Genomic DNA, 27,260 nt, shown 5'->3' with positions numbered 1-27,260 from the left:
TAACTCATTCATTGTGGGCCCACAGCAATTGAGACAGGAGACACAGAGAGGCTTTCAGGGTGGCCCAGGTGCCTAGAGGGATGTAGCCTGCCTCTATGTCCAGTGCTCCCTCCACTATGCCATGAATGTCTAGAACAAGTGTCTAATCCCAAAATTATACTTGACTTTAGAAAATTCACAAATATAAAACCCTGGAAGTATTACTCATTGTTAAGAAGCACTGAGCAGCTTGAGGGTTCTGTGAGCAGACCCATGTCTCAAGGGCACACGGCACCCCTGCAGCTGCCTTGTGGCACAGAACTGCAAGCTGACAAAACAAGAACGAGGGCAAAATGATTTGACCCAGCGTAAACATGCCTTCTCTTAGTTATTTCTCTCCCTTGGGATTTAGGGTCCCATTTGCAAGGTGGGGAAACAAAGTCCTACTTAAAATTAGCAGTTCCTGCAATGATGCCTGAGTGGTGTGCTTGCTGGGAAACAGTGGCATGTGGTACCCAGAACAGGAGGTATCATCTCTCTCAGAAGGTTCAGGGAGACTGGGAGAGTAAGAGATTATGGAGCACTGATTAAACAAAATGCCCTAACTGCAGTTCCCAGGTAAATGTTTTTCACTTTCATTTTTGAAGAAGATACAACTCACCCACTTCAGTCTTTCTCTTTGCAACTGCACTGCATGTTTATCACAGACTCCCTGTCATATCCATGACTAGCTAAGAGGCCCTGCCAGTGCAACATGTAAGGAAATGAGGCATTTTTCCAAGTATCAATCCATGCCTCTCAGCTCTGAATTCACCCTTCATTGACTGTTTTGTGAAAATGGATCTGGGCCCTACAAATATATCTCCTTTGCTAACTGGCAGTAAGCTTTGTCAGCAGAGGATGCTGAAGAAACATTGCCAAAAGTTTCCTTCTTGTTTCTGCAGTGCTGTCTGAGCAGACACCTGCAGCCAGACCGCTGCCACCCATACAGTTCCCCAGTGCCCAGTTCTTACAGTGCATAGGGCCTTTCCAGCTCCAGGCTCCTACAGTGCACAGAGTTTCTGCAATGCTCTGCTCCTGCAGTGTGGATGGCTCCTCCAGCCGCAGGCTCCTGCAGCAGTTTCCCCAGTGCCCAGCTCCTGCAGTGCGAGCATCTCCCCCAGCACCTGGCTCCTCTGTTACACAGCAGTGGTTATGCTTCGCAGCCAGCAGCTTCCACCAGCACCTTCCTCGGGTGATGTTTCAGTGGAGTAATTCCCCAGTGAGACACCTTCCTGTGAGCAGATCTCTCTGGTAGCTTGGAGGGTAGATTTCTGGCAGGTTTCATGGGTGCAGCTCTGCAGCAACCCCTCTGCCATCCATTGAGCCATGGCCATGATCCCTCCTTAGGTATCTATTTCTTTTTAATGTGCTCCTTTTCTCTGCTATTCCTGTATTCTTCTGTGCACTCTACTTACTAGCTAAGCCTTCTCTACTCCAATGCCTATTAGTAATTCTCTATATTAAACTTTTCATGTTCAAAGTATGATGCAGCTTCCCTCTTCTGATCTGATCCTAGCAGATCCAGGCATAAAGCTGTTAGATCTCCTGATTGCAAGCAAGAGACACCAACCCTAGCTGACTTAGAACAGAAAAGAGATTAGTACAGGATAGCTGGGTGTTCACAAAATAAAGAGGAGGCCTGAACAGCCAGGCTTGGAAGGCAGAGCCGCCTGAACAGACCTAAAGTTCCAGGTGCCTAAGCTGATGGGCTCAGCCTCCCCAAAATCGGGGCCTGAAATGGGATGAGTCAGGAAAGGGAAGGGGAGTGGAGAAAGGAGGAAAAGCTAAGGATGCGGTCTCAGCTGGAGGCAGCTGCAGCCTGGCCCACAGGGGCACTCTGGAGCACCAAGGATCACAGAATCACCCCATCTGCAGCAAAGGCCCTGGGTGTGACCCGGTTGTCGGCCACCCTGGGGAGCATGGGACAAAACCTTCTGGGTAAGGTGATTCCATGTTCTCCGGAAAGGGGCAGAGGCGAGCCCTTAGCAGGAACACGCTCCCTCCATCATACATCACGAGAGGGGACACAGAAGGGTGCGGGTGGATGGGGAGTGAGGCAAAGTCCATGTAACACCTAGCCCTGCCCCGCCAGCTGCGTAGTGAAACACAGACACGAACTTCCAGGAGAAGGCAGAGAGCTGAAGCCCTGCCTGGTGGCTTTTATCTGGGTGACCCCAGGTCCACTCGGCTCCTGGAGTGCCACGTCTTCACCAGCCCCAGATGCTCCCACTGGAGGGACGGGAGAACATTACACGACAAAATGCTCCCTCCACGGCAAAGGTGCAGCCGCAGGGAGGCTGGGCAGGGCTGTGCTATGTTTTCATGTGTGCACGTGATTTAAAACCCAGGAACAGTGCACTCCTGTACTTGCTGATATTTGTATTTTTCTTGGCCAGAGAGAAGCTAGTAGTCAGATTATCCCACCATGCCCCTCAAAGTCCTGTTGCACTGAAGTAGTATGTAGTTGTGGTTTCTGTTTGCCTCACCCTTGACATTCTATTTCTCAGCATTACAGATAGCAGCAGTGTATCTATGTGATATTCTAAAGAAATACAAATTTCTTCACTCCTAGAACTTGAAGGATTTAACGGGATAAAATCAGGAAAGGGATTATTCTGGAAGCATGCAAATGAACAAGATATCACTTTTCAAGATAGAACAGAATGGGCGTCCAGGAAAAGTGACCCACATATGACCTCCTGAATGCTGATCAGGCTCTGGCCTCTCTCTGTGGTCAGCCCACACATTCTGTAATACCTGCTCTCAGACTAAGAGGTCTTTCCCTGCACCTGTGGATACCACTTGTTTTTCTGAAAGTCCTTCTGGTGGCCTGAGGTCTACTTTTAAATGCTTCCACTTAAATGGGGCCTATTTTTCTTTTTCTTCCAGGCATATTTAAAATCATAGCATCAACTATGTGTTGGCATCTCATTGAAAGCAGTCCCAATTGTTTCTAATGTTAGGAGCTCTTTCTTGTCTCAGGTTTGGACCAGCCAGTCTTCTAGACCATTCAACAGCAACGCTGAAACAGCCCTATCCCTCCAAAAGACATAAACACAGAAAAAATGGCCACACAACTTCAAGAATATGCAGAAATGGATGGAATAACTACAACAGGTGATGACTTTGATGCTTAAAAGATACACTGTTAGTATTGAGTGAGGTTTGTATGAACGTAACTATATCATAGTAAGTACTATTAGCTCTATCAGGGCTTAGGAAAAAAAGGAGTATCAGAGATGTCTGAAATATCCTGAATATAAATGACCAAAGGATGTTTTCCAGACATCTAATGTTTAATCATTGCAAACAGCCAATGTCACTTTCGCTGATTTATTTCAGCTATCATTGAGCAACAGTATAGGAGTATGATCATGCAAAATCAGTCATTTTCTCAGAATAGGAGGCAAATGTCATCTTCCTGCAGAGAATATTTTTCCCATTAAAAGTATAAATCCAGGTTGACATGTCTAAATTGACCAGGATTTTCTCTGTTTGGAAACCGAAGTCCACACAGTGTTGCAGCTGTCTAGTTAAATTCCCCGGAGAGGAATCCAATGGAGATCAAGGCTGAAAGAACGTTCAGGTTATTTTTCCATTATTTTTCAAAAAGCAGCAAGTAAAGTGCTGTGTCCTATTGGGCAGCATTTTGGTTGTTCAGTGGTGGCAAGGTGACCCCGGTGACTGCCGGAAGGCTGCTCAGCAGGCAGCTAAGGTCTCTTCTCTTGTAAGTTCTTTGCAAACGAAAGTCTTATGCTACACATCTTTTATCAAAACAACACAAAGCACACAGAGATTACTGGAGTTGACTCCACATTTCCTTGTAAATGTTCTGGTCCAAACCCAGGGGATATTGGGAATGGAAGGAACCGAGACCCACTGGCTACTCACAGCAGCTTCTCCGGGGACCAAGGGAGAGAGAAATTGGGCTGCTGTGTCCTCACCATCGGGAAACATCCGACCAACCAGGGAAAAACACATTCCTGGATTTCTGCCTTCAATTCTTGCAATAATAATGTAACAGCCTCAGATCCTTTCCAGTTTTTAGACATAAAGATGACTGTCTAGCAGCAGGTTTTGCTGAATCCCCAGCACAGAAGCAACAGCCAAGTCCTATTTAAACGTTTCATTGTGCAGATCATAAAGCAGAATTCCTGCATCCATTTGTTCACTTAGTATTCATTCATTCATTCATTCATCCACTCGTTATGGTGAGTAAAAAGTAGACCGCCATAAACAGCCTTTCCTCCTGAGTGTCCCCATTGAGAGTGGCAGCCAACGTGAGACTAGTCACCAGCTGCCAAGGAAGCAATGGGGTGCCTCAAAGAGAGGGTGCAGGAGCCCACCACACGGCACCTGCTCCTTCTCAGGAAAAATGATGATGTCAGCCTCTTTACTGGTGACTCTATTGGAGGAACAAAATTTAACTGACTAAAATTAGTGTCTCAATTGTATATTAATTAAAAAAGGAACACAACTTGACACACGTTTAAAGATGTTTAGATGGTCATGAAGAGAAGGTGGGACTCAGTCCTGATTTTTCAGTGCACCATCAATAACCAGTCATGTATGGCTACAAAATCATAAAGTATTGCTAACACACGGGATGGTGTGCAGAGGCCCTGAGTCCTGAAAGCACCTGTGGACACCCTGCTCTGATGAGAAGGCCCAAATGAGGCCCTCCTGTGGGTTGCGTGCTGCACGCTCATTCTTTAAATAATGCTTTGGGCCCCCAGCTGAGATGAAAGAAGAGTGGCTGGAGGATGATGGAAGCAGTAAGGCAACCCCACCAGATTATTTAGGATGCTTCCTGAAACACAGGGGCTAGAGGACAGCAAACAAAGAGGCAGCTGCCCACCTCAGCCCTAACCCCTCAACAAGACCACCCAACCAAGCCAGACAAAGGCCAGAAAGCCCAGCGTTCCCTTTCCTGAGGAGCCAGTGGGCTGGGGCTCCTGAGAACGGGTGAGATTCATGGACGAAGAGAAGGGTCAGAAACGCTGCACCAAGCTCCAATTTCACATGACTCCAGCGCAACCACAGGCCTTACCGCCGGGCCTGGAGGGACTCTCACACCTGATGGTCAAGACCCGATTCAGGCTGAAACATTTCACTTCTCTAACCAGAGTGACGTGTGGCCATCTGCTTCTCACACCTCATGCTAGCCAACACTGCAAGTATCCAGTATCAAAAGCATGTTTTCCACCCTGCGCCCTCCTGGGGAGAGGCTGCGGACTTCCTCTGTACCTCCACCCTGCACTCTCTGCCACCCCACTACGTGTCCAGTTCCTTCCATTTCTCTCTCCAAACTCAAGGGATCATTTGCATCTTGAGATAAACACATTAAACGAATCTACTGCGTCTCCAAAAACAGTTGCTTGGTTGATCATTTCTCTGACTGGGGACAGCACCTAGAGGGCAGTAAGGGATGGACTGTGTGGGTTTCATGTCAACCCTGAAATGACACCCATGTCAGGAAAGGAGGCAAAAGGAGAAGGGGTGTGGGGAAGTGGGTGAGCAGGCCGGGTGGTCAGCAGGTCTTTCCTGCCTCCCAGAACAGCTTGTGTTGCTCATTCTGACCTGGGGGGCTCTGCAGGGGCGGACTCTGTGCTCATTGCAAAGATGGCAGTGATTGACGCCAGGCTGCAGGGCAACCCCACCTGGCCTGAGCTGGCTCATTCCTAAGGTGCTGTCTTAGGCCATTCTCGCAAGGCTATAAAGAAATATCTGAGACTGGGTGATTTAGAAGAAAAGAGGTTTAACTGCTCACAGTTCTGCAGGCTGTACAGGAAGCATCTGCTTCTAGGGAGGCCTCAGGAAGCTTCCTTTCAGTCACGGGCAGAAGGCGCATCACATGGTCAGGGCAGAGCAAGCCAGGGAAACAGGGGCCCACACAATCTTAAACAACCAGATCTGGTGCAAACTCAGAGCTAGAGCTCACTCATCAGCAAGGGGATGGCCCAAGCCGTTCGTGAGGGATCCTCCCCATGATCCAGATACCTCCCACCAGGCCCCACCTCAGAGACTGAGGATCGCATTTTAACAGAGATCTGGAGGGGACAAACATCCAAACTACATCAGGCACTCCACAAGGTTTGCCAAAGACACCTGCAGATCTGGATCTCCACCTGAAAACGTCCACCCGAAGACACTCCTGTGTGTCCCTGAGGCGCAGGCAGGGATAACACTGAAAGGGAAGCTGTGTTGGTCAGCTGCTTTCCACTTTTGTCATGGCTCCAATTTTGTCCTCATCTTGCAACAGTTTAGTCGGGCTTAGGCAAGGGAGTAATTAAAACTACACATTTCATCCTTTGAGCTCATTCCTCATTGGGGGGGAAAACGCATCACGCGTCACCTGCTGTTTACATTTTGCAGTGCAAAATGCCGTCTCACGACATTGAACCATGATACATGAATTTCTTTTCTATTGAAAGGATCAGCAGATATTAGTGCCAAAAAGATCCCAGATATAATTTTGGCCAAATCCACTTATTTTACAAATAAAGTAATAGCGCCAAAGAAATTAACTGTTAAATTTCTCTTTTAGGATTTACTTTATCTTTTAAACACATCCTTTACAGTTCAGTGAAAATTAATGGAGCATTAACTAGTAAGTACTAACTCTCTACACCTGGCCCTTGTGGCACCTGCACATGAACATAAAACATCTGGTTAAAGGATTGTTCACAGTTAGTTAAAACTATCTATTCCTGCTCTCAAGCTAAAGATTGACATACTCAGTGATTTTTCTTTGTTTGTTTTTTGTTTTTGTTGGTTTGTTTGTTTTTTGAAACACAGTCTCTCTCTGTCGCCCAGGCTGCAGTGTAATGGCAGGATCTTAGCTCACTGCAACCTCTGCCTCCCAGGTTCAAGCGATTCTCCTGCCTCAGCCTCCTGAGTAGCTGGGATTACAGGCACCTGCCATCATGCAAGGCTAATTTTTTTTTTTTTTTTTTTTTTTTAGTAGAGATGGAGTTTCACCATGTTGGCCAGGCTGGTCTTAAACTCCTGACCTCAGGTGATCTGCCTGCCTCGGCCTCCTGAAGTGCTGGGATTACAGGCGTGAGCCACCACACCCAGCCGATACTCAGTCTTTTAAAAGTGGTCAGGGTGAACTCACCAGCACCCACATGCCCACCTGCACATATAAGCACAGCGGAGCCAGCTCCCTCTCCTGTGACTCCACATCCACAGACTCTGGCTCCAAAGGGGAGTCCCCGTTTGCACAGCCAATAGTCCTGTGGGATGGCCAGGTCTGGAAACTCTATCACAGGCACTCTCATGGGACAGGAAGACTCAGAGAACATGACAGCTGCCGCCAGTTGCCCGGAAGGCAGCCCATGATGGTGGATGAGAGAGATTCTGTAGCACTCCAGAAGGCAAAGTATAGGGTCAGTGGACAGAAGGAAGGAGGAGGCTGATTTCAGCTTCCTGAGAAGCATCTGTTAGTCATAGGAACTGTTCAAACATGGAAGTGCCTCCTAGGGAAAATGCCAGAGCAGAGGGCAGGCAGTGCCTCTCGGGAGCACAGCAGGATTTCCACACGGGGCGGGAGAGGGGTGCTGAGGCTTCCACCAGGCCCGGATACCCTTTAAAATCCATCTGGCTTGCTACTGGAATGCAATTTATTCAAGGTTATCAACTAAGTCAGGGTCAAAGCTGGCACTGCAGTTAGCAGGGAAAAGACTTTTTTTCTCTTTGGTGGGGAGCAGGGGGATAGGAGATAGGGAGACTTGCCCCATCAATCAACTTGAGCATTTTCTTTGAAACCAGTACTGCCCATAAATCTCTACTGCTTGTGACTGGCATGCGGGAACATCACTCATAAATACATGGATGAAACTTGAGACAGTTTAAATCATAATCTGGAGGGCTTTATGCAGCTGAACAGTTTGTTTTCTAGTGAAAGGGCAAAATATGACATTTAATTTTAACAAAAAAAAAAAAAAAGAGCAGTTACCTCAATGGAGCATTGTTTTGTTACGATAGACTTATTAAAAACCCTAATCAGCCAGATGGCCAGCGTTCAGAACCCACCCAGCCCCGTATACAGTGTGAGAGCAGGCAGTGCGGTGTTCTCACACCGTTAGCCACTGGGGCATCCTCGTTCGAGTGATGCAAGGACACCATTCACTGCACCAGCGATGTAAGAGCAGACGCCTGATGAACACGGCCATGGTCGTAAAAGTACACAATAAACTCTCAACCAATTGGCCTTTCACTTCTTACCAGCATAGACAACACCTGTCTATAGGTTTACCTTATTGGGAGAAGAAAATATTAAACACAGGTAAGCAATGGCAATTGCCTCATTCTTCATAGACTCCTGTTTTGTATGATGACCTTCTCATCTTTTACATTCAAAATGTGCTACTTATGGTGTCACTCAGGAAAATTGTAGGGAGGTATGGCCATCGCCCTATTAAGTAAACTAGAGAGTATTTGGTGGCATTTAGTGATTCCAAAAAAACCTCAGAGACCTATTAGGACCATACAGAAGAAACAATGGAACTATTTGTAGTCAGAACCACTAGGAGACATGAGAGCTGAAGAGAGACATATAAAAACTAGACCAAAGCCATCATTCCCTTTATGGAGGGGAGAAAGTGTTGTGGCTATTTTCAAGCACATAAAATAACCAGTGAAAGTGGCAAAGGAAGAAAGGTCCCTCCTTCCTTACACCCTACAGCTTGGTCTCTGTATTTCCACTTAGACGTGACTCCTGCTGCCTCATCATTTGATTTTCCTTTTGGGCAGGGACTCGTCAGAAATAGTCTCTGCATCATCCCCACGCCACTTAACGTTTCACACAGAATGATTCCATCAAGTTCACTGAATGGCACGGACTCACGAAAGCATGCATCTGTTGACATTCTCGAAGTCTCAGGGAACTTCTAAAGCTGAGCTGAGTCCTTACAAGCAGGGATTTGCTTTGCAGCATGTGATAATGACACAGTCTGTTAGTTCCAAGAGCCTGTGGGGCCACCAGCAGTTTCCCAGAGCAGTTTCTGGAGCAGCATGCCACATCTTTGTGCACCAACCTGCAAAGGGAAGCTCCAACCCTGCTCAGGGGCCAGTGTGGCCAAGGAGGAATTGCACCAACAGGCCAGTGGGCTGCATTCAAATAGGTGCCACCCCACCCTTTCTTGCTGCAAAATAAAACCAAAGTTCACATTAGACAAATATGCATAATGGTCTTAGACAATCTCTTCTCCTGGGAAAGCTCTTGACAACAAGCAGTTAGATACAAAAATGTTAAAAACCAACTGGATTTTAAACTCCCCTTACTGTCACATAAATCAAAATACACATTTTAAAATAATGTAGTTGCCATTTTTCCTTATCTCTTGGTTTATGACCACATTGTGGAAAGTCTAGTGTTTAATTTTATAGCATTACTAAAGGTTATAATAAATTTCTACTTAAGAGAAGAAAATCTAAAAAGAGAACATTGTTCTTTCTTCAATAAGCTTTGACTGCACAGAGGTAGCAGGAATGGCCACCTTTTGCTACAATAGAATACAGATCCTTAAGGAAAGAGCACTCCCAGCTCCCTGGTGATTGGTGCAGACATTTCTATTCTCCGTGGTGCCACCTAGTGGTCAATAATCGAACTGTGTCTTTGTTCACAGTGAAGCACCATTGTCTGCCAGGACCCAGACCTATGCCCATGGCAGGAAACCCTTTCACTCTGCATCACTCGCCTTCATGCCATCTCAGGACCACAGTCTTGGAACACATGTCTCCTCTCTTGGACATCTAACATAGAAATGCAAAACAGTGTATGTCAAATGCCTTTAGGTTTCTTAACAGCGTAAGAGGTGAACAGTTATATTCTTGATTTGGAACTATATCTCCAATTCAATGTTTATTGATCCAAATTTTCAAATTGGAATAAAAGTGTTATAACAGCTATCAATAGAAACTTTGAAATTATAGCCAACATAGTATCTCATAACTGGGATTCAGCTTATAAAATAACAGAACGGTGATGGAGACTGCTATTTGTCCACCAAAATCCGTTTTGCCAATTTTCTACAACAGAAGGGCTGCAGGTGGGAGCATGGTCTCTGTCAGATGGGAACCCCGCTTCCAAACCACCTGTAGCTGGCTGTGGCCCCAAGACTCAGCTCTCCCCAAAGGAAATGTAGAGAGCAGTAGGGGTGCCCTTCAGGCCTTCCTGCTGGCTAGAAAGAGCATGTATGGCAACCTTTGCAGCCTCGTGTTGGGAGTGACAGAGCCTTCATTGTCTTCTGCTTCCCTGAATGGCAGAGGGCACCAGGGCAGCCTGCCAGCCTGAAATGCTCACTTCAGAGTTCTTATATGAAGAATTTCCATATTTTCCAATTCAGTGAATTAGTTTGAGCCTGCTGTTACAGCAGCTTAGCATTCCCCAAATGGCAAATCAAGATCTAAAATTGTTTTAATAGTGGCCACAGGATTCAAAGTTCATTTGTGTATAGGGTTCATTAATGGTTTTATTGGTGATGACGGTTGCATTTAGTCTAAGAGCTTTTCAGAAATATGTACTATAGCAACACAAAGATAGTTAAGAAGCAATTTTACTTTATACGATATGGCATAGTTTTATAGACAGTGCTAATCACTTATCAATTTTGATGAGGCCCGCGAACTTACTGGTTTCTAATAGACTAAATCGGTCTTAAGCACTGTATAGGTAAAGTCATAGCAAATCTCTAATCTCTAATTGTTTAAAGATGGTGGCTCCTGGTTTCCAATATGGCAATTTGACTTTGAAAAAAAAAAAAAGTACTTTCACAGGTTGCAACAAATCAAAACAATGACCAGACACTTGACATGTAGCCGGACAGTTGGGAATTTATAAATTAACTTCCCAAACTTCAAAGATGCTACAACTCCTGGTTGAGCAAGAAATAGCTCATTTCCTGTTCAACAGGCTTCCAACACTGAGTCAAACAGAGCAATCAGATGATTCAGACCTCTGCTGAGTGGCCCTAATGGACGCCTCCAAAACTTACAATGAAAAGCATACTCAAAAATCTTTACCCTCGTCTAAACTGCTCAGCAAGGCTCTGCCATCTGTAATTCTGAGCTCTGCTGTGCGGAGATAGCCTGGTGTGGACTCTTGTCCCTATCATCTCCATTCTCAGATGCACCGTAAATGGGAACACCTGGACTTCCTTGGAGAAATCAGCGCTTCTCTTATTTTGTCCCTGCGTATTTAAGATCCATGTGTTCTGATGCGTTATCATAGTGAGTCATCACAGGAGTCCAGTAAGACAGGACTTTAAAATTCAAGGCTGGCTCTGCAGATGGAGCAGATGAGCACGAAATGCAGCCTCACCACCCAACCACGGGCAAAGCCTGTATGCTTCCTCAGCTTTGAGAACTGTCGGCAGATTCACTGTGAGAGTGAGTATACAAGCCGCCTCCCAGTGGATGGAGAATGCACTCATGTCCTGTAAGAAGCCCGGTTGCAGAGGCCAATGCACACATCCTCTCGAGTTGCAATGGGAGCGGACTGTCATGACTTTCCTTCTGGTAGTGGATGTGCATGGAAACTTCCTTTATTTCTTCATCAGTGGGACTTCTTTGAGGCAAGTAAACATGGCTTTTCTATGTCTCGATTAAATGGCGAATGTCCTGAACTACACCGATTCCACCTGCTGGTATGATAGATTTCCAAAGAATAAGTACGTGGTAAGATTCCCAGACAACAACACCAGTTTTTACTTAGGAAACACCTGAAGGACATGAGCAATGGGAGCCCCGAGGGTGACCTGGCGGCCAGGACACCTCTCTCCATCACAGGTGCCCTCCACAGCCCAGAGGCCTTTCCAGGGGGCTCAGACACGTCTTCTAGGATCGTGCAGCCCCGTAGATGTATAAGGCACAGGAAACTGAGCAGACCTCAAACCACCCCATGACATTCTCTGAAATGTTTTTGTTTTAATAAATCTCAGGCATTGTACTTGTCATTTACCATTTTCTCCTAAAAATCAGAGGCATAAATCACCGTAAGTGTTGATGCCTTCCTGTAAGCTGGTTTCAGAAAACATTCTCTACTGAAACTACAAGAGCAGAAATGGTTTTAATCCCATAAAAATTATGTTCTGTGACTTTTGTCCTGGCCAGATCGGAAAACTTCTTTATTGAAGTTGTCAGCCACAATGGGCACAAGAAGCAGAGGAGTTTCATGTGTGTGAGTTAGGAAGAAAGATCCACCCTTGGAAAAAACCACCAGCTAAAAATCTGATGACCAAAAAAATGGAATCAAGGACTAAAAGCTTCAAGAAGGGGCTGGGGTTAGGGGTTCTGGCCACTGTTGGAAGGTTTATTTCTCCACCTGGACAATGGACATGAGAGCAATGTTTACTCCACACCCTGTCTCTGAATCCTTCCCTTGATAATAAGCAGGGAAGAGTATAGAGTCTGAACAAGAGGAGATAGGAGACAGGGACAATATTTTTCATTAAGGAGGACCCAAGCACACACTGCACACAGAGGAACTAGATGATGAGAAGGTGCTTTTTCCCGATCACAGTCTTGGGTCTCAAGAGAAATCAGTGAAGAATCCAGAATAGTGTGCTGGAGCCATTCTTAAAAAGCTACCCTACAAACGAGTTCCATTTATTGCAGAATAAATCAACAACTTTAATGAAAACGCTCATCCACCACCTCTCCCATCCTCACGTCCACTGGTTTTCTGTTTGCAGTGGAAGCCACCGTGGGGGGTCTTGTGAACTTCCCATTCAGTCTGAGCTTGGAGCACCAACAGCAGGATCTGAGCTCCTTCCGGCGGAGGCTTCTCACAAACGCTCTCCACACACCCCAGTTTCATTCTCCCACCAACACTGGACAACACTTCTCACTTTCTTTCCACAGCTTTTTCCAGCACTGCATGATCACTTTTAGAACATTCTTGCAAATTCTCAGGCTGGTTGTCTGGTGTTAATTTTCATTTCAGGACCTAAAACCATGCCTGACTCAAACAACGGGTTCAATATCTCAATATGTATGTTTATTTTCTTTTTTCTTTTCTTTTTTTTTTTTTTTTTTTTGGAGACAGGGTCTCACTCTGTCAACCAGGCTGGAGTGCAGTGGCACAATCACAGCTCACTGCGGCCTCAGTTCCCCCCAGGCTCAAGTGATCCTCCCACCTCAGCCTCCCAAGTAGCTGGGACTACAGGTGTGTACCACCACACCTGGCTCATTATTTTGCATTTTTTGTAGACATGGGTTTTCTCCATGTTGCCCAGGCTGATCTCGAACTCCTGGACTCAAGTAACCCACCACCTCAGCCTCCCAAAGTGCTAGGATTACAGGCTTGAGCCACTGCACCCAGCCTGTACATTTATTTTCTGTTTGTGACTATTTGTGATTTTTCTCCTCCTGCAAATTTTTAAAAAATATTACCTTGAGTTGATCACTGCAGAATGTATACATGTATCAAAGTGTCACATTGTACCTCATCAATATGTGCATTTATTATTTGCCAATTAAAATAATATAAAACTCTTTAAAAATTAAAAACCATATATTTCCCTAGTATTTCTGGGATGATTTTTTTTTCTCAATGACTTTTGAGAATGCTTTTGCTTTGTTCTCAAACCTTTGATAATCTCCATCATTACTGGTTGGGTATCCCTTATCTGAAATGCATGGGACCAGAAGTGTTTCAGATCTCAGATTATTTCATATTTGAAAATATTTCCATACAGATAATGAAATATCTTAATAATGGAAACCAAGTATAAACAGGAATTCATTTATGTTTCATACACACCTTATGCATGTAGCCTGAAGGTAATTTTATTATTCCTATGGGAACGCTGAAAACACCGTGTGTTCTGCGCCAGCGTTTGACTGTGACCTGCCATGTGAGGTCAGGTGTGGGATTTTCTATTTGTCGCATTAGGTCAGTGCTCACAAAGCTTTGGATTTTGGAGCCTTCTGGATTTCCGATTTTCAGATTTGGGATGCTCCGCCTGTATCTAAGTCTTCCATTATCTCCTTTTGACTTCCTAAATAAATACTTATAACATTAGCAAATAATGATAGCTTTAGAACTAATTTCCCCGAGTTACAGATGTAACAAGTTCAGGTTATTTTTTTGTACTGATTGGTCTTTCCATCCTTCTTAAGATGTTACGGGGTGAAAGCCCGGGACGTGCTAGCAAGCTGCTCCGGTGCGGGACACAGAGTCTCTATCACAGGCTGCTCCGGTGCGGGACGCGGAGCCTCTATCACAGGCTGCTCTGGTGTGGGACACGGAGTCTCTATTACACAGCCTTCTTTTGTTTGGGGGGCTAGTTGTTGTTGCTGCTGCTGCTGTTTTTCACAATCCTTTAAGAATGTAAAGACTATTATTAGCTGACAAGTCATTTAAAAAAAAAAAAAAAAAAAAACAGGTCTTGGCCCTTGGGCTGTAACTTACAAACTTTGCCCAGTTTCACTCTCAGGTTTGACGCTCTTGCTTTGTGGCTGACAACCATTCCACCAAGGGTCCACTCAGAGTCCCCCTCAAAACGAGGACAGTAACTTAGACTTTTGTAGTCGATCTTAATAAAGACAGGTAGTTCCCCGCTGGTCTCAGGGCTTCAGTGTGGTGCACAGCAGCTGTTCCTCCCCGCTCGATACAGAGCTCATCTCACAACCTGAAGCCCCCGGATCTGCTGAGTGTCCTTTCAGAGTAATAGCTGCTTTTGAAGCACCGTCCCTGGCATCAAGACTGATCTGTATCCATTCCATCTGACGGATCTGCAGCTCTGCGTTGTCCTGGCCAGTTTTCTGTATGGGAGTCAGGGCGGCACCACAAAATAAACGGATGCATTTCCGCCTTTCTTGTAACACTCAGTCAAGTCTTACAGCCTTGGGAATGTTGCTTCTGAAAAACGTGACTTTGGCTCTGGAACCTGTTTTGGAGGAAATTCTTTGATAACTTTTACAGTTTTTTCCAGTGTTGCTTATTTCCTTCTTCCTTGTTTATTTCTATTTTTATTTTAGATTCAGGGGGTACACGTGCAGGTTTGTTCCCTGGATATGTTTCGTGATGCTGAGGTTTGGGCTTTGATCGGTCCCATCTCCCAGGTAGTGAGCACAGAACCCAACAGGCAGTTTTTCAGTCCTTGGCCCCCTCACACCCTCCCTCCTTTTTTCTTTTTTTTTTTCTTTTTGAGATAGAGTTTGGCTCTTTCGCCCAGGCTGGAGTATAGTGGTGCGATCTCGGCTCACTGCAACCTCCGCCTCCCGGGCTCAAGGGATTCTCCCACCTCAGCCTCCTGAGTAGCTGGGATTACAGGTGCGTGCTATTTTTTTTAGTAGAGATGGGGTTTCACCAGGTTAGCCAGGCTGGTCTCGAACTCCTGACCTCAGGTGATCCACCTGCCTTAGTCAAAGTGCAGGGATTAGAGGCGTGAGCCGCCACACCCGGCCCCTCCCTCCTTTTGAAGTCCCCAGTGTCTATTCCCATCTTTATGTCCATGTGTATCCAAAATTTAGCTTCCACTTATAAGTGATGACATGCAGTATTTCATTTTTGTTTCTGCATTAATTCACTTAGGATCACGGCCTCCACCTTCCCATCCATGTAGCTGCAAAGGATATGCCTTCATTCTTTCTTAATGGCTGCGCGGTATTTCACGGTGTATATTTACACATTTTCTTTTTTCTGTCACCATTTATGGGCACTTTGGTTCATTCCATGTCTTTGCTATTGTGAATAGTGGTGCAGTGAACATACAAGTGCATATGTCGTTTTGGTAGAATGATTTATTTTCCACTGGGTATATACTAGGTAATGGGATTGCTAGTTCTGTTTTTACTTCTTTGAGAAATCTCCAAAATGCTCTCCACAATGGCTGAACCAATTTACCTTCTCACCAACAGTGTATAAGTGTTCCATTTTCTCTGCAGCCTCTCCAACCCTGCTGGCTTTTAACTTTTTAGTAATAACTATTCTGACTGGCGTGAGATGGTGTCTCACTGTGGTTTTGATTTGCAATTCTCTGACGGTTAGTGATGTTGAGGATTTTTTCATTTGTTGGTCACTTGTATGTCTTCTTTTGAGAAGTATCTGTCCATGTCCTTTACTCACTTTCTAGTGGGGTTATTTGTTTTTGTTTGTTGATTTAAGTTAGTTATAGATTCTGGACATTAGGCCTCTATTAGAAGCATAGTGAATATTTTCTCCCATTCTGTGGGTTGTTGATAGTTTCTGTTGCTGTACAGAAGTTCTTTAGTTATTTGGTCCCACTGTCAATTTTTGTTTTTGTTGCAATTGCTTTTGAGGACTTAGCCATAAATTCTTTGCCAAGGCCAATATCCAGAAGGGTATTTCCTAGGTTTTCTTCTAGGATTTTGTTATTTTGATGTCTTACATTTAAGCCTTTAATCCGCCTTGAGTTAATTTTTGTATATGGTGATATGTAGGGTCCAGTTTCATTCTTCCGCATGTGGCTAGCCTGTTTTCCCAGCACTATTTACTGAACAGAGAGTCCTTTCCCTATTGCTTATTTTTATCAATTTTATCAAAGATCATCTGGTTGCATGTGTGTTGCTTTATTTCTGGGTTATCTACTCTATTCCACTTGTCCGTATGTCTGTTTTTGTGCCAGTACCATGCTATTTTGGTTAATGTAGTCTTGCAGTATAGTATGAAATTGTGTTTCCCTCTTCTTTTGATCCAGGTTAATCTTTCCCCCAAATTGTCCACTGTATCTAGACTTTTTAAACTATGAGCATAGCTCTACATTAGGTATTTTAATCATCTGCTGATCCATTTGCTGAATCTTCTTGCTCATTTATTTTTGTTTGTCTTGATACTAGATTTCGTGTGTTTTAGAAGCAGCAGGAGGGAAGTGGCCTGCCATCATGCACCCTCACAGGCACTGTGGCACTTCTTTTGTCAAGGAGTTACAGGAGGAATGAAGGGCCTTATGCTTAGATTTTCTGTGATTCTCCAGGCCTAACACTCCACATTGGCCCACAGAATGCCAAGTTTTTCTACCACCTGTGCCACACGCCGAGGCCCCACTGGCCACTGGCTATGGTGCCACCACCTGAGGGCTGAGTCCTTTCTCTGATCTGGTCACCATTTGCGGCACGGGAGTGACAGCACCCCCCCAAGGTGATCAGAGGTGTTGTGATCAACGTAACTCAGCACTCTCAAGAGACAAAGACAGACCAGTCCCCACCAGAAATTTCATGGGGGTGGGACAGAGAACACACCATCCTTCTACCAGACATGGCATTCTTCCTCTTAGATCAGGGGGCCCCAACGCCCGATCTGTGGCCGGGTATCAGTCCAAGGCCTGTCAGGAACTGGGCCACACAGCAGGAGGTGAGAGGCGGGCGAGCAAGAGAAGCTTCATCTGTATTTACAGCCGCTGCCCATCACTCACATTACTGAGCTCCGCCTCCTGTCAGATCAGTGGCAGCATTAGATTCTCACAGGAGCACGAACCCTATTGTGAACTGCACATGCAAGGGATCTAGGTTGCACACTCCTTATGAGAATCTAATGCCTGATGATCTGTCACGTCTCCCATCACCCCCAGATGGGACCATCTAATTGCTAGAAAACAAGCTCAGGGCTCCACTGATTCTACATGATGGTGAGTTGTATAAGTTGTATAATTATTTCACTGTATATTACAATATAATAGTAATAGAAGTAGACTGCACAATAAATGTAATGCACTTGAATCATCCTGAAACCCCCAGCCCTGGTCCGTGGAAAAACTGTCTTCCATGAAACCGGTCCCTGGTGCCAAAAAGGTTGGGGACTACTGTCTTAGATGGTATCTTCCTGCTGTGTCCCCACACAGAGGAAGGGACAAGAGTTATCTGAGGTCCCTTTTATAAAGTCACTAATCCCATGTGTGGGGCCTCCACCCTCATGACTTAATCCCCTTCCCAAAGGACACACCTCCTAATATCACCACCTTGGGAGTTAGGATTTCAACAGATGCATTTTGGGGGAGACACAAAATTCAGTCCACAACATATACTATTCATCAAAATGTGTATCCATTATAAACAATGGCTAATTCACTATAGTTTATCTTCTGGATGGACATTGATGGATAGATGCATTTTGGAGGGACATAACCTCAATAAAAAAAATAAAATCAATAAAACAGCATTTCTTCTGAGATTCTAAATTGCCAGTAAATTTAGGTCAGGTCTAATCATTACCTAAAATGACTGAAAACAGGAGAGTCAACAATTGTAGCTTGTCTAGATTTTTTCCCTTTGGAATGAAAGTCTATAGAATTTAAGGCAAATGTAAAAAACAACTGCACTATGGTCATCTAATAAATACAAAGAATTTGTGGTCTGAGTCCTATTGCCTCAATTTATCTGGTTACACCTAGCATTGTATGACTTTTATGTGCTACAGCTAACAGCAGTATAAATTTGACCATATTTGGATCATTTTCCTCTTACCATATAAAATGGATAAATCTCTTCCTCTCATGAGTTTAAAAACTACATAATTTGCAATAGCAGGACCATGATATTAAACATCATATTATAAGCAAAATATGTACAGCTATTGGTAATAAATTGTAATGCTTAATATATAGTAATCAGTGGTAATACTGTATGACTACTATAAGTAATTTCCTTGTAATTACAGATAATTAGTCTATAACTTAAGAAATAGTTAATAATATTATAATTAAATTTAAAAAGTTTATAAAAATAACTTATTGTCATCCACTTGGAAATAAAACACCCAAGAATAAAAACAGCCCCCTCCAGAAGTCTGAATCTTAATAACTCAGCTGCTTCTACATTACTGAGTTTAGGTATTCGAGGAAATCTTGTTCTCCTGGGCAAATAAGGGCTTTACAGCTTTACTGGTAGTAAAACCCAGAGATCCTCCTAAGATCCCCTGAGATGCTATCTTATCCTAGGAACAGCAGGACGAAGGGCAAGGCAATGGTGTGTGGCTGCCCTGCCACCTCCCAGGTGAAGGGAGTTGGCTGGAGACCTGAACAGCCCTGCTGTGCCTGCGAGAAAGGGACAGTAATTTCACCCACCCTCGGGAAGCAGGGGAGAATGCAGTTTGGGGTCACCAGGGGGCCCCAGGGACAGAGTTTCAGGCATGAGCACAGAAGAAGGAGGAAACAGCTCAAAGCAAATGCCTTCCTTCATACAGGAAGTAAAATATTGTGTCTTTTCCCTACGGCTAATCTCTTTGTGTGTCATCAAAGAACATGTGGAGACTATCTCAGTCCATGCCCAATATAGAGACTAAATCTCACTTTAGAATCTGCATATACATAGGTATCAGAACGGGATGTACCAGAGATTAAATTTAAATCTTCTTCCTCTACCAAAAAGCTGTGTGTTTCCTCTCTGCTTTTGGAAAGGCCCGTCTCAGAACAGAATAGAGAAACCCACTTATTATAGGTCTTATTCAACATATTTCAGACAACATCACAGGCATTTGATGTATTATCTAATTAATCCACAATCAGCCCGTCCACAAGAGGGTTTAACAAATACAAAAACAGAGGCCCAGGGAGGGCACACAGGTGTCCTGCTGTCACACAGGTGGATATGACCTTTCATCCCCGCTCACTGTGCCCCTCCCAGAGCCCTGCTCTTCTCCTGGTCTAGCAGCGTGCACGCATCACTCATCCTTTCTTACTCTTCTTTCAGGGAGTTAACTATGAGCTATTGCACTAAACACATCTACCTGTTTATGCATTTCTGATGTAATTCTTAAATATATTTGATAGGTGTTTTTATTGTGCCTGCTCTTCAAATAAGGGAAATGAAAAGTGTCATGTTCAGTACTTGGGAGGGAGCATTTGAGCCCGGGTTTGCCTTATTCCGTGACCATGATCACTGGCATCCCTGCTGGGTGTGTGGCTTTCATTTCTATGGTCGGTCCTCAGCTCAGGGGAGTGATTGGTAAGGCTGCTGGGAAGAAATTGAGCTCCCAAGTTAGAAGCAGTAAGATTAGAAACTGGAAGAAACTAATACAAACAGTGTGAAGCACAGACAGCTAGCAGGTGCTCCAGGAAGATAGTGAAATTCTAAGACCATATGAGGGTTTAAATAAATGAAGCTCTGATTTGTGCGACTGTAGTCTGTGGACCCATGTAACGCGAAAGCATGAACTACCTGAAGGCAAAGACACATCAGCAGCTGGGCTGCCTACATAATTTGTGGGGCCCAGCACAAAATAAAAATGCAGGGCTCCCTAATCAAAAACGGTTACGCACATCAAGAGAGAGACACCAGAGCATTAAACCCAACCCTGCATGTGCAGGAGATGCATGCTCATGCAGCCACCCTGCCCAAAGGCAGCTCAGCACTTCCTGGGAATCTCTGAGCTTGCAAAGCCGCATCTTTCTCTAGTGTCCGAGTACTGACTTCCTCTAACAGGCTGTGCGTCCGAGGCTCACAGAGCCCCGTAGCGTGGTGGGCAGCAGGCCCCAGGGTAGCCCCCAAACACCTGAAGGAAAGTCAGGACCTGGCTGTCACAGAAGAATCCAACTTCCATCCATTTGCAGGGGGCAGGAAGGAAGGAGAGGGAGATACAGTCAGAGATGGTCAGGGTTAGGAGAACCAGGGCCTGGTGCCTTGGACTCTGAGATGAGGTTGCCACAACCTGGCACAGAAGCCACATGATGGTGACATATTTAATCCCCACATCTCTCAGGAGAGATTTAAGTATAAGGAAATTTCAAATCGTCATTGAAGACATCTTTCTTTTTGAAGGAAATTGACAATGCCTGCCCACCCGTGGGCAGCTGATTAATGTTATGATTTGATGCTATTAGCTCCAGTGGCAGTTTCAGGGGACCGAAACCTGCCTGTTTTTCTCAGACACCTAAGATCTTCATAAGACCATGGGGGACGGGTGGAAGAGCAAAGCCCCAGCCACCTGCCTGCAGGCCCTATGGAGGGACTGAGGTCAGCTCCTGGGGCTTTGGGCTCCTCTGCTGAGTTCCCAGCTGGCTCCTGCTGCCGGGGCCAGATGAACTCCCTGTTTCCGAACACATCCATATCTAGTCTGCTTGTGAGGTCAGCCGGGAGCCTGGCACCTGGAGCTTGCATTTGCCCAGAGATTCTGTCTGGACGTTCTGGATCAGAGGGTGGGCTGGCACACAAACCATGTCAGTGGCACCTCTGAGGGAAAGGAAGCCTGGGCCTCCACACCCTCTTCAGAGTAAATGAGCACATGAGAGGCACACAGCCTGCTCCCAGGGCAGTGGGGTGCAGTCCTCTGGCAGGTATGGGGCCCCTGTACTCACCCCCCTGCAGCACCCCTTGCTGGGGCCTCTCCCCAGGCTGGAAGAGGATGGAGCCCCCTCCAGACTCCCTGAGCCATGGCGGCCCTCACTCACCGACTATCTGTGTTGTACCTTGCCTGGATGCAAACGACCTATTCTCAATGCATTTTCTGGGACCCCTGCTCATCTGATTCTCTCGTTTTCTGTAATTCAGTTATTTCACAATTTAAATTTTTATCTGGGTTCAACACATTTAGCAAAATGACCACCAGTTAAAACTTAATAGATCCAAATAAAGATAAAGTGCACAATTAAAGGTTGTCTCCTAGACTAAGGTAATCCATCCTGATTCCATTTTTAGCCCAGAAATAGATTCACACTGCCTCTCCCAGATCTGCAAAGTCGGCAGCAGCCCAATAGCAAAGACAATATCATTTTCAGCTTGTCCTTTTAAAATCGACCTGACCATGAGTCTCAGACACTGAAAATTAACTGTTTTATAAGGAGGCTTGCAAGGTATAAATCTGAAAAACTTTAAACTGTGCATTGCCAAATATTTCTCAAGTATTAAAAATTCCCTTTCTTATTCACTAAACAAAGTTGATACAAAGGGAACAGCCCTTGACTTTTAGCTGAAGTTTTTCACATGCAACAGATTTATGAGAACCAAGAATCATGAACACATATCTGATTTTCATAATTAACTATGATATGACGTCAGGGCTCCCTGTAAGCCAGGCCATGGGCACACATTTTCAATCAAAATGATAGTCAGTGCCCATGAATTACAGTAATGGAGGTGCTGGGCCTCATCTTATTCAGTGATTCTACAGATAATTATGAGACCTGCGAGGGTGACATGTTTCCCTTACCCAAACATGCATAGTGCACCCTGGACTGCTAATTCTCCAATAATGTCAGCAGTATGATAACTGTAAGACTGGGAAGTCTCGGGGAATATGGAACATTTGGCCAGAATGTTCCTTCAGAACACAGCGGCCTGAAGATACCCTATATGTTGGATTTAAAATGAGTATGTGGTGGTTTATCTCTGGAGAGGAAACCAGCATGAAAAATTATGCAACAACTAGCTGAGCAAGCAACTGACACCATATGGTCCCACTGCAGACATTATCTTACATCGTCTTTCACCATCCCAGAGGATTAAAGAACAGAGTCATTCAAGAGACATTTTAAATAAATAATAAAACTGATAAAACAAGAAAGAAGTACAGTGGCAATAACACTTCATTTGATAACATCACTTTGTCTGAAAACATCAAATTCCTCTAAGTGTTTGAGAGCCACAGATGTGCCTGATTATATTCTACCTCCAAAAGAAAAAGCTGAAAGACAACGGCAAAATGAACATCCTCTTCCTCTCCAAGAGTGGACTGACATTTTAAAGGTGTGTGCCTATTTTCAGACCTCCAAAAAAGATACCTCACATATCCAAAAGGGATGTAACACCAACATGCTGTGACTTTGAAACTGGAGTTTAATGAATTTGCTATCAATACATGACAGAGCAACAGAAGTGGGAAGGATTAGCTTTCTCTTGCAACACAAAGCTGTGAATGAAAGATGGACAAGCCAGTAAGGGATGCGCACAGCACTAACGATACAGGAGAATGACCACACAGTGATCAGCACAGGCAAGGGAAGACCCGTGGCTGTCTTCATGCAGCTGGAGAATACAGGAGTGAGCCAGGGGACACTGAGTAAGGGGAAACAACTTTAAGAAGTATATAAGGGGCCAAGCGTGGTGGCTCACGCCAATAATCCCAGCACTTTGGGAGACCGAGGCAGGTGGATCACCTGAGGTCAGGAGTTCGAGACCAGCCTGACAAACATGGAGAAACCAGTCTCTACTAAAAATACAAAAAAAAAAAAAAAATTAGCCAGGTATGGTGGTGCATGCCTGTAATCCCAGCTACTCGGGAGGCTGGGGCAGGAGAATCACTTGAACCCCGGAGACGGACGTTGCGGTGAGCTGAGATCGTGCCATTGCACTCCAGCCTCGGCAACAAGAGTGAAACTCCATCTCAAAAAAATAAAAAAGAAAAAAAAGAAAAAGAAGTATGTAAGGATTCAAGGGCATCCCTTCCCTCGCCCTTCACACTTCCGTGACGCTTCCCTCGGAACTCGGAGCTCTCTGCAGTTCCCACGTCTGCCCACATCCTCCTCTGGCAAAGCAAACATAATTAGTATCACCATGTGCAGGTGAAGAGGCTGAGCCAGTGTTTCTCCATGCATTTAGAACTCATCGGCCCCTGCATGAGGACTTGGTTTTGCTGCAAAGTGAAGACAGGTGGCCTTGCAGAGCCCACGCTGCCTCCGGAGGAAAGACCTGGGCACGGGCATTGACCGCTGTCTCACTGCACTTGGTTCCCTGTCTCCAAAAAGACGTTGTGGGCTCCCTGAGGACAAAATGAGGTAATGTGTGCAAACTGGCGCACATTGAAACTCAGTGGATCCTAATTCCTTTCTCTTTCGCCTTCCATGAGTGTGCACCTGCTTCTGATAAAGTGAGGCAGAGCAACTGCTGATGCCCCTTGATGCCCAGCAATTGCAGCAGATTTACGGTTTTGTGCTCTAGCTGAGAGCTGCTTAAATTGATTGTTGCCAAAGCATATATCAATTCCTTCATTCTAGATAGTTTATCTTGCAGTAGATGCTGGGTGCACACCGGAAAGGGAAATCAGATAAAGGGACACTATTCGGTTGTGTGCAAACTAATAATGACAGAGCATAAGGAACTGACCTTCTGGAGTTTGTTCCCCCGGTGAGAGAAGTGGGTATGTTCTACCCTCATGTGAGTTTCGGGGTGTGCTGTGCGGCACCTAGCACGAGGCCTTTGCACCTGCCACTCCGTCCTGTTCAGGACAACCTGAAATCACCCCTTCGCCTGGCTGACCTCTGCTCAGCCCTCTGGGCTCATAAGCGCCTCAGGGAATTCTCCAATAGGTCTGATCTAGGCCATGCTCCTTTATATATAATGCAGCTTCAGAGCTTCTCATTCCACTTCTGAAATAACCCCTCTGACTTCTATAATAATCTGTCTCAGTAGTTATGTGAATTAATGACTACCTGCATCTTCTAGGCTTTATTTTATGGGTATTCCAATTTAAGATTACTTTTTAGTATTGATTGTTAGACTGCTGTTAAATCAAACTAAATTTGGGCTTTAGAGGCCTCCATACCAGCTGTGTGTAATAAGCTCCAATCTAACTCAGTATGTAAATAAATTGAAAGGCTAACTTATGAGTATGCTTCTGTAACAAATAATTGAGTCTCAGCCAATCACAGCCGCCAAGCTTCAGCCAGTCACAGGCGGCCAACTGGTTAAACCAGGTTCAAATAAGGCCACACTGAGTGGCAACCAATGGAGCTGTTTCTGTCCCTCATTTCCTTTTCTCTGTCCATTAACATTGTTTGACTACTTTTTGGTTGTAGTAACAGACTTTCTGAACCTATTCTGATTCTAGGGCCTGCCCCCTTCATGATTCACCCTTTGCTCAGTTAAACTCTGTTAATTTAATTTGTCTAAAGGTTTTCTTTTAACACTGGCATTGTACTTTATCATTATGTATTAAAAGGTTTTGCTTTTCTTCATTCATGCAAATATTTTATCTTAATATTTTTGCAATGGTATATTTAATATCAACATTTGATTTCAAAATGTGAAAATTATAAGTATTTTGACAACAATGGATATCAACAAGTTTGCATTTTGACATCTATTTATATTTTCTTTTAGTCAATACCTATTGATAGCTTCGATTTGCCTAAAAATATCAAAACCGTGTTTAGGGCAAGAACAGAAATCACCTTAATTTCAGAAACCATGTCTGGTTTTACTTCTAGAACAGTGACTGGCACAAAATAAGTGTGTGGTCTTCAGCTTCCAAAACAACTCCTGAATATCTCCCCTCCTGACATTCAGGCTTTGAGTATATCCTCCCAGCACACGAGGGCTGGGCCTAGTGATGTGTTGTTCCTAACCAACAGATATGGCCAAAGTGACATGACATCACTTCCGAGGTTAGATTATAAAAACATCCTCCCCTCCCCTCTCCTCTCTCACCTCCCCTGATCCTTCCTTCCTCTTTCCTTCTAATAAAGCCAGTTTCCCAGTGGAGGGGCCCTTGTGCCAGGAACTGAGCCAGGCCAGGCAAAGGCCAGGGAGGAGTTGAGACTCTCAGCCCGACAGCCTGAGAGGAGCTGCATCCTGCTGGCAGGCAGGAGACGGCTCTGGAAGCAGCTTCTTCTGGGCCCAGCCTCGGGAGGACTGCAGGCCCAGCACTGCTGCAGACTGGGAGGGACCCTGAAGCGGAGGAGCCAGCTAAGCTCTGCCCAAATTCCTGACCATATAAACTGCGAGGTAAAAAATGTGTTCTTTGAAGCCACAAAGCATTGGGGTACTTCGTTACACAGCAATAGGTAACTAACTCACACTGTTAAAAGACAAAAATTAGGACAATTCTAGAATCAAGCAATGCCTCATTCCATGAGATAGAATGAGTGTTCCAGCGAGCTGAGCAGAGGAGGGGGCTCTGCGGGCAGAAAAGGGCGGAAGGAAGCAGAAGCATGGGACAAACAGCAGATCAGCCATCTCAAAGTTACTCTCCTTTTTGGGTTAAAACAGAGGGGACTTCCTATGATACCAGCTCAGGTGAGCTGGCCCCTTCTGACGGGCTGCTGTGCTTCTCTGCCTTGGAAAATGCCTGTTTCAGAGTTCAGTTTGCTGATATAGAACATGAGTGAGTTGGTTCTGAGCTGGTCTGGTCTGCCAATGCCTAGTGCAGGAGCTCAGTCTAAACCCACGGTCTCCTATAAACTCTTTAACAATCCTTAACTGCACACTCCTAGCCTGATGGATAAATACAATATTTACATCAAAGCAACAGTCGGGGAATGTGGTGTTGTTCTGAGTTGTAGAAAAACTGAGGGTCCCACCAAATTCCATCTAATCAACAATTCTGCCTGGGCTTTGTGAAGGAAGGCTTTACTGAAGAGATGGAGGGTATTAGAATGGGGCTGGAAAGATGGGGTGGGGGGAAGAGATTCCAGACACAGGAAGGAGCACGAGCAAGTTAGGTTCATATAGAACAAGACAGTTATTGAGCATCTGATCAGGGCTGGACGCGGAGCCCGTGGCTGGAGAAAGGGATACAAGGCCCCCACCCTTGACAGCTTATGACTGAGTGCAACATGCAAGCCTCAAGACAGGACAGTGACAACAGCATCTCCAACTGTCTGGCACCTGTCTGCACACACTTCCAGGCCACACCACAGGGAGGCCCTGGCCCTGCTAAGAGTGATGCAGAAAGCTTCCCAGGACAGGCCAGCCTGACTCAGGCTGTCAGACCCGACGGTGAGAGTCATCCAGGTGGCTGAGCATTCCCATGGGAGGGAGCAGCACCACCCAGGGCATAGCCCCAAGGGCATGTGGAGAGACTGACACCCAGGCACCGGGAGTTTGGGAGTTGAGCCTGGAAGCCAAGGGAGCATGAAGCAAGGGGCGGCTCCCACAGAATTGCACCAGCGAGTGTGGTGATGTGTGCGGGACATGGTGGAGGGCAGGGGAGGAGCCAGGAACAGCACCCAGGGAGGGTGAGCCAGCTGCAACCACCGCACTGCAACAGGGAGGCAACGGGCATCCTCTGAAGCTGGCAGCAGAGGGCCGCCAGGCCCCTTGGCCCGTTCTGGAGGGCGGCTTGGCAGCAGTGTGGAAGAGGGATGGAGGAGGATGTGTCCAAGTCAGCGAGCAGCAGGAGGGCTGCAGCATTCGGGTGAGGGCCCTCAGGTGGCAGGGGAGGCCCCAGCTCCCTCCGCCCACTCGCATCCCTGAAGCTCCAACTTTCATTCATTTCATATGCTTGGCTCCTGTGTAAGTCTTTAGAGGAACGAAGGGTGGGGATTCGGGAGCTTCTCAACCGGAATTCTCTGGTCTAGGGGACAAATGCTGCTGAGAGGGGAGGCAGATGGGACCCACAT

The 27,260-nt window shown here is 45.5% G+C and overlaps 1 protein-coding gene and 1 long non-coding RNA gene across 3 annotated transcripts in view, besides 2 other annotated features; one reads left to right on the top strand and one right to left on the bottom strand.

The window, feature by feature from the left end:
- Window positions 1–27,260, bottom strand: part of GABRG3 (gamma-aminobutyric acid type A receptor subunit gamma3) — a 570,804-nt gene that overhangs the window by 472,567 nt on the left and 70,977 nt on the right. The window lies entirely within an intron of this gene.
- The window catches only part of LOC124903449 (uncharacterized), a 33,128-nt gene that overhangs the window by 2,688 nt on the left and 3,180 nt on the right, over window positions 1–27,260 (top strand). Inside the window, exon 2 of the long non-coding RNA XR_007064545.1 lies at window positions 3,004–3,138. This is a non-coding gene — a long non-coding RNA (uncharacterized LOC124903449). The remainder of the gene's footprint in view (window positions 1–3,003; window positions 3,139–27,260) is intronic.
- Window positions 10,527–11,726: an enhancer, noted in NCBI's record as "CDK7 strongly-dependent group 2 enhancer chr15:27302839-27304038 (GRCh37/hg19 assembly coordinates)". NCBI's record gives its function as "activates an origin of replication core promoter dependent on BRD2, BRD4, P300/CBP, MED14 and CDK7 cofactors, with strong dependence on CDK7, by STARR-seq in HCT116 cells {active_cell/tissue: HCT116}" and the evidence as "EXISTENCE:reporter gene assay evidence [ECO:0000049][PMID:35650434]".
- Window positions 16,605–17,104: an enhancer, noted in NCBI's record as "H3K4me1 hESC enhancer chr15:27297461-27297960 (GRCh37/hg19 assembly coordinates)". NCBI's record gives its function as "activates a minimal SCP1, AML or CMV promoter by ChIP-STARR-seq in primed H9 embryonic stem cells {active_cell/tissue: H9 hESC(primed)}" and the evidence as "EXISTENCE:reporter gene assay evidence [ECO:0000049][PMID:30033119]".

Source organism: Homo sapiens, chromosome 15, assembly GCF_000001405.40.
Source record: "Homo sapiens chromosome 15, GRCh38.p14 Primary Assembly".
Classification (NCBI taxonomy): domain Eukaryota; kingdom Metazoa; phylum Chordata; class Mammalia; order Primates; family Hominidae; genus Homo; species Homo sapiens.
This window is presented reverse-complemented; position numbering and strand designations above follow the sequence as displayed.